Source organism: Homo sapiens, chromosome 6 (genome assembly GCF_000001405.40).
Source record: "Homo sapiens chromosome 6, GRCh38.p14 Primary Assembly".
Lineage (NCBI taxonomy): Eukaryota > Metazoa > Chordata > Mammalia > Primates > Hominidae > Homo > Homo sapiens.
In genome coordinates, this window is record NC_000006.12 from 15,048,051 (window position 1) to 15,052,261 (window position 4,211).

At 46.5% G+C, this 4,211-nt stretch overlaps 1 annotated feature.

Annotated features, from left to right (window-relative positions):
- Positions 383 to 432: an enhancer, noted in NCBI's record as "active region_24063". NCBI's record gives its function as "activates an Ori minimal core promoter by ATAC-STARR-seq in GM12878 lymphoblastoid cells {active_cell/tissue: GM12878}" and the evidence as "EXISTENCE:reporter gene assay evidence [ECO:0000049][PMID:35858748]".

Consider the following 4,211-nt stretch of genomic DNA (forward strand, 5'->3'; position numbering starts at 1 on the left):
AAAGAAAGCAAAAAATACTTTTCTAAACCTTAGTTTCTTATGATCAAATTTGAATTTTTCCTCCCATCAAAATGGCAAAGCGTTACTTGGTGATCCATTAGCCTTGATTTGAAATAAGAAATAAAAGTAATTGACTCTCTTACAATGTCTTTATGGAGACAAAGTTCAGCCACACTTTCTCAAATGCTAAGCTCCTTATTTTGCCCAGAGCATGAGTTCAGTATTCATGGCCTTGCACAGACTTCACCAAACACTGACAATGAGTTTTAAAGGACAATGACAGGGTTGAGAGGTTGAAAAGTGGACCTACTTTTCTCCTCTATCTGTTCTTAGAAATCCATGTCATTTTCTTCCTGGGAACCAACCCAGTTCTTTAATCCACACGCACAGTTCCTGTCCATGGAAGGCATAATTTGGCCTCATGTGTTTGCTTTTTGTTTTGCTTTCGAATCAAATGCTTCAGTGCTTTGATAACTAAAAATGAAAGAGGAGAGAAAATGTGTTTTTCTTCAGGCTTAAAAAAAAAATCAGTGTTGAACCCTCAAGGGATTATTGTGTAAAACATGATGTAAAGAAGCTGCAGTAGAGTGGGGACGGGTCTGGAGAGAAAGGGATGCTGAAACCTCATCCATTGCTTGTAGAATAATGTGTGCCCAGAGTGACAGGGTGCGCCAGCCCCAGAGGTCACCTCTCATCCATGTGGTGTACAACCGCGTAGGGTTCCAAAGGTAAGCTCCCAGTAGGGATCCCAGTGTGAGGAAAGGATGTATGGGAAGAATCTAAGTGTGAGTGTATGGAGGGCTCATGCAGGCCAAGATGTGGGTTTGCCTATCCTGCTCGCAACGTTTCTGCCAAGACTACCATCTGCGGACTCACAGAATGCCTTATGCACCATCATGGAATTCCACACAGCATTGCCTCTGACCTAGGCACTCACTTTATGGGTAAAGAAGTGGCAGTGGGCTCATGCTTATGGAATTCACTGGTCTTACCATGTTCCCCATCATCCTGAAGCAGCTGGATGGATAGAATGGTGGAATGGCCTTTTGAAGTCACAATTACAACACCAACTAAGTGGAAAGTCGGATGTGAAGAAAGTCAGATCTGCCCAAGCCTCTGCACCGCATTGCACTCGCCCGCCCCACCCTCCTCTCTCATCCAAAGATGCTCCGTGACTTCAGGCCATGCTCCGCTTCCTTTTTCCTGACACTTGCCTTTCACAAGCCTACTTCTCCAGGAGCCTGTTGCTCTGAAGCCTGCACTGTGATGAGGGCTGGTCTGCCGAGGACCTGGGTGAGCTTCTGAAGGAGAAGCTGCTGGAAGCATGTGTTCCTGGGCTTGGGCTACCAGTGCAAGCTTACTAAACGACAGAGCAGGTTCTTTTCTTCCCTTTGGCCTTCTTACCTCAGGGAGCAAGGTGAAGGGTCTAGGAAAAAGAGAAGCCCGTGACTCTAGGGCCAGCTAGAGATGAAGGAGTGTCTGCAGTCTGGAGACAGACCAGGGGTTAGGCTGTTCGAGGGGGTAGGGACCAGACCGATCACTAGATTTGATCTAGATGAGAAGGAGAATGCCAGGGGATGGGATGGATTATTTCTTCTGAGGCATAAATTGCATTTTAATCCTAGTGGCCTTTTTTGCTTTGTTTTATTTTGTTTTTCAGACAGTCTCGCTCTGTCGCCCAGGCTGGAGTGCAATGGCACAATCTTGGCTCACTGCAACCTCCGCCTCCTGGGTTCAAGCGATTCTCCCGCCTCAGCCTCCCAATCCCAATATCAAGTAGCTGCGATTACAGGTGCCTGCCACCATGCCCAGTTAATGTTTGTATTGTTAGTACAGACAGAGTTTCACCATGTTGGCCAGGCTGGTCTCGAATTCCTGAGCTCAAGTGATCTGCCCACCTTGGCCTCCCAAAGTGCTGGGATTACAGGCGTGAGCCACCACACCTGGCCTTATTTATTTATTTATTTATTTATTTTAAGACAGGGTCTTGCTCTGTTGCCCAGCCTGGAGTGTGGAGTGCAGTGGCACCATCATAGCTCACTGCAGTCTTGACCTCCTGGATTCAAGCAATCCTCCCACCTCAGCCTCCAGAGTAGCTGGGACCACAGGTGCATGCCACAATGCCAGCTAATTCCTGGTGGCCTTCAATGGCTAAAAAGAAAACAAGACTAACATGGGCACTTTGGCCAGTGGCCAGAATAATAATTTTTTTTTAACAAAACAGGTCTTAAAATGCTCTGTAAAATCACATTAAAACATAGCTTTACTATGCACTTAAGATTTTAATAAATAAATGGCTTTGAAAAATATTTCTTGTAATTGGAAAATTGAAATATACTTTTCAATTTGCTACCCCAGAAGGAAACGCGATACCGCAGGACTGCTATCAGTATTACAAGTCAACTGGAGTTACTTAAAAAGAACAACATATTGTCGACTGATTTGATGAAATGGTGTAATAGATCAGGACAAGAAGGAATAACCAAATCCACCAGGAACACAACTTTTGTCCAAAAATAAAGAACCAGCTGGGCATGGTGGCTCAAGCCTGTAATCCCAGGACTTTGGGAGGCTGAGGTGGGCAGATCACCTGAGGTCAGGAGTTCGAGACCAGCCTGGCCAACACAGTGAAACCCTGTCTCTACTAAAAACACAAAAATTAGCTGGGCGTGGTGGTGCATGCCTGTAATCCCAGCTACTCAGGAGGCTGAGGGAGGAGAATCGCTTAAACTCAGAAGATAGAGGTTGCAGTGAGCCAAGATCAGGCCACTGCACTCCAGCCTGGGCAACAGAGCGAAACTCCCTGTCTCAAAGAAAAAAAAAAAAAAAAGAACCAAACCAACAAATTAGAAAGACTAGAATTAGACCTCACACAGTGCAGCAGGAATCTGGTGACAGCTGACATCCTGGAAGAGTGGTAGGCACACTGCAGAATGAGAGCTTTCCCTCACTTCTATGGGGTCAGATATTTCTGTTGATTGATCAGAACCAAAAACATTTCAGGAGAAAGCAGTATATGGTATATTGGATTAGACTGTGCACCCCAGCACCCTGAATCCCTGCCCACCATGGGCTAGTGGGTCCTTGCCCTTGGCACCTAGCAAGGTCTGAATTGTAACTGGATGTGGCCTAATATTTTCTTCCATGGGACATTGAATACAAAATACATGGTGTAAACAAATAAGAAAACAGAACTCATTTTACATAGTTTGTTTTGATCATTCCTTACACTCACAGTTTCTCTTATCAACTATTTTTTCAGCAGATGAAATTTAGCCAAATCTGATTATGTCTGGTCCTTACTTAACTTAAAATGGCCCATAGGGCGCCAGTGTTCCTGCCCCTGTTCACCTCTCCAGCCTCAGCCCTCCCCTCGCCACCTGCCCAGCCCCATCCCATTATACACCCCCTCTCATCCTACTGGCCCACTTGCAGTTCCTGTCTTGTCTCTGGACCTTCACAAATGCTGTCCCTGAAATACCCTCCCTCTCCCTACCCCTGCCCTCCACCTCCCCTCCTGCTGATGCACCATTCAGGTCTCAGCACAAATGTGAAATGCCCTTTTCCAGTGCTCTAAATAGCATGTTGTGTAACCCCCATCAAAAAAGTGCTCACCTTTTTATAGGTGGCCTTGGAGGAGGCATTGGCTATATGTTTCACCATGTGGACCCCGGAGCTGAGGGAAGTTGATTTTTGAAGAGAGAGGGAGATTGAGAGAAAGAGAGAGAATAGAAGGAAGCCAACACATGGAAAAGTTCAGAGGCAAAGGATCAGGTATGCTCCGACAATAGGTGTCCCTGGTTCTGGGGTTGCAAGGAGCTCCAAGGTGCTCGCCATATATCCACACTCTTGCTAAAGCTGGGCTTCTGCTACTTGGTGGCCAAGGAGTCCCATGACTATGTTCCTACCAGGGCTGCAAGCTCTGTGAATATAGTGGCAGTGTCTGGACCGGTCACATCTGTATGTTGAACAAATGGATGAACAATATAGGCCTGCCGGGCATGGTGGCTCACGCCTGTAATCCCAACACTTTGGGAGGCTGAGGAGAGTGGATCACCTGAGCTCAGGAGTTCAAGACCAGCCTGGCCAACATCGTGAAACCCCATCTCTACTAAAATTACAAAAATTATCTGGACGTGGTGGCAGGCACCTGTAGTCCCAGCTTTTTGGGAGGCAGAGGCAGGAAAATCACTTGAAACTGGGAGGCAGAG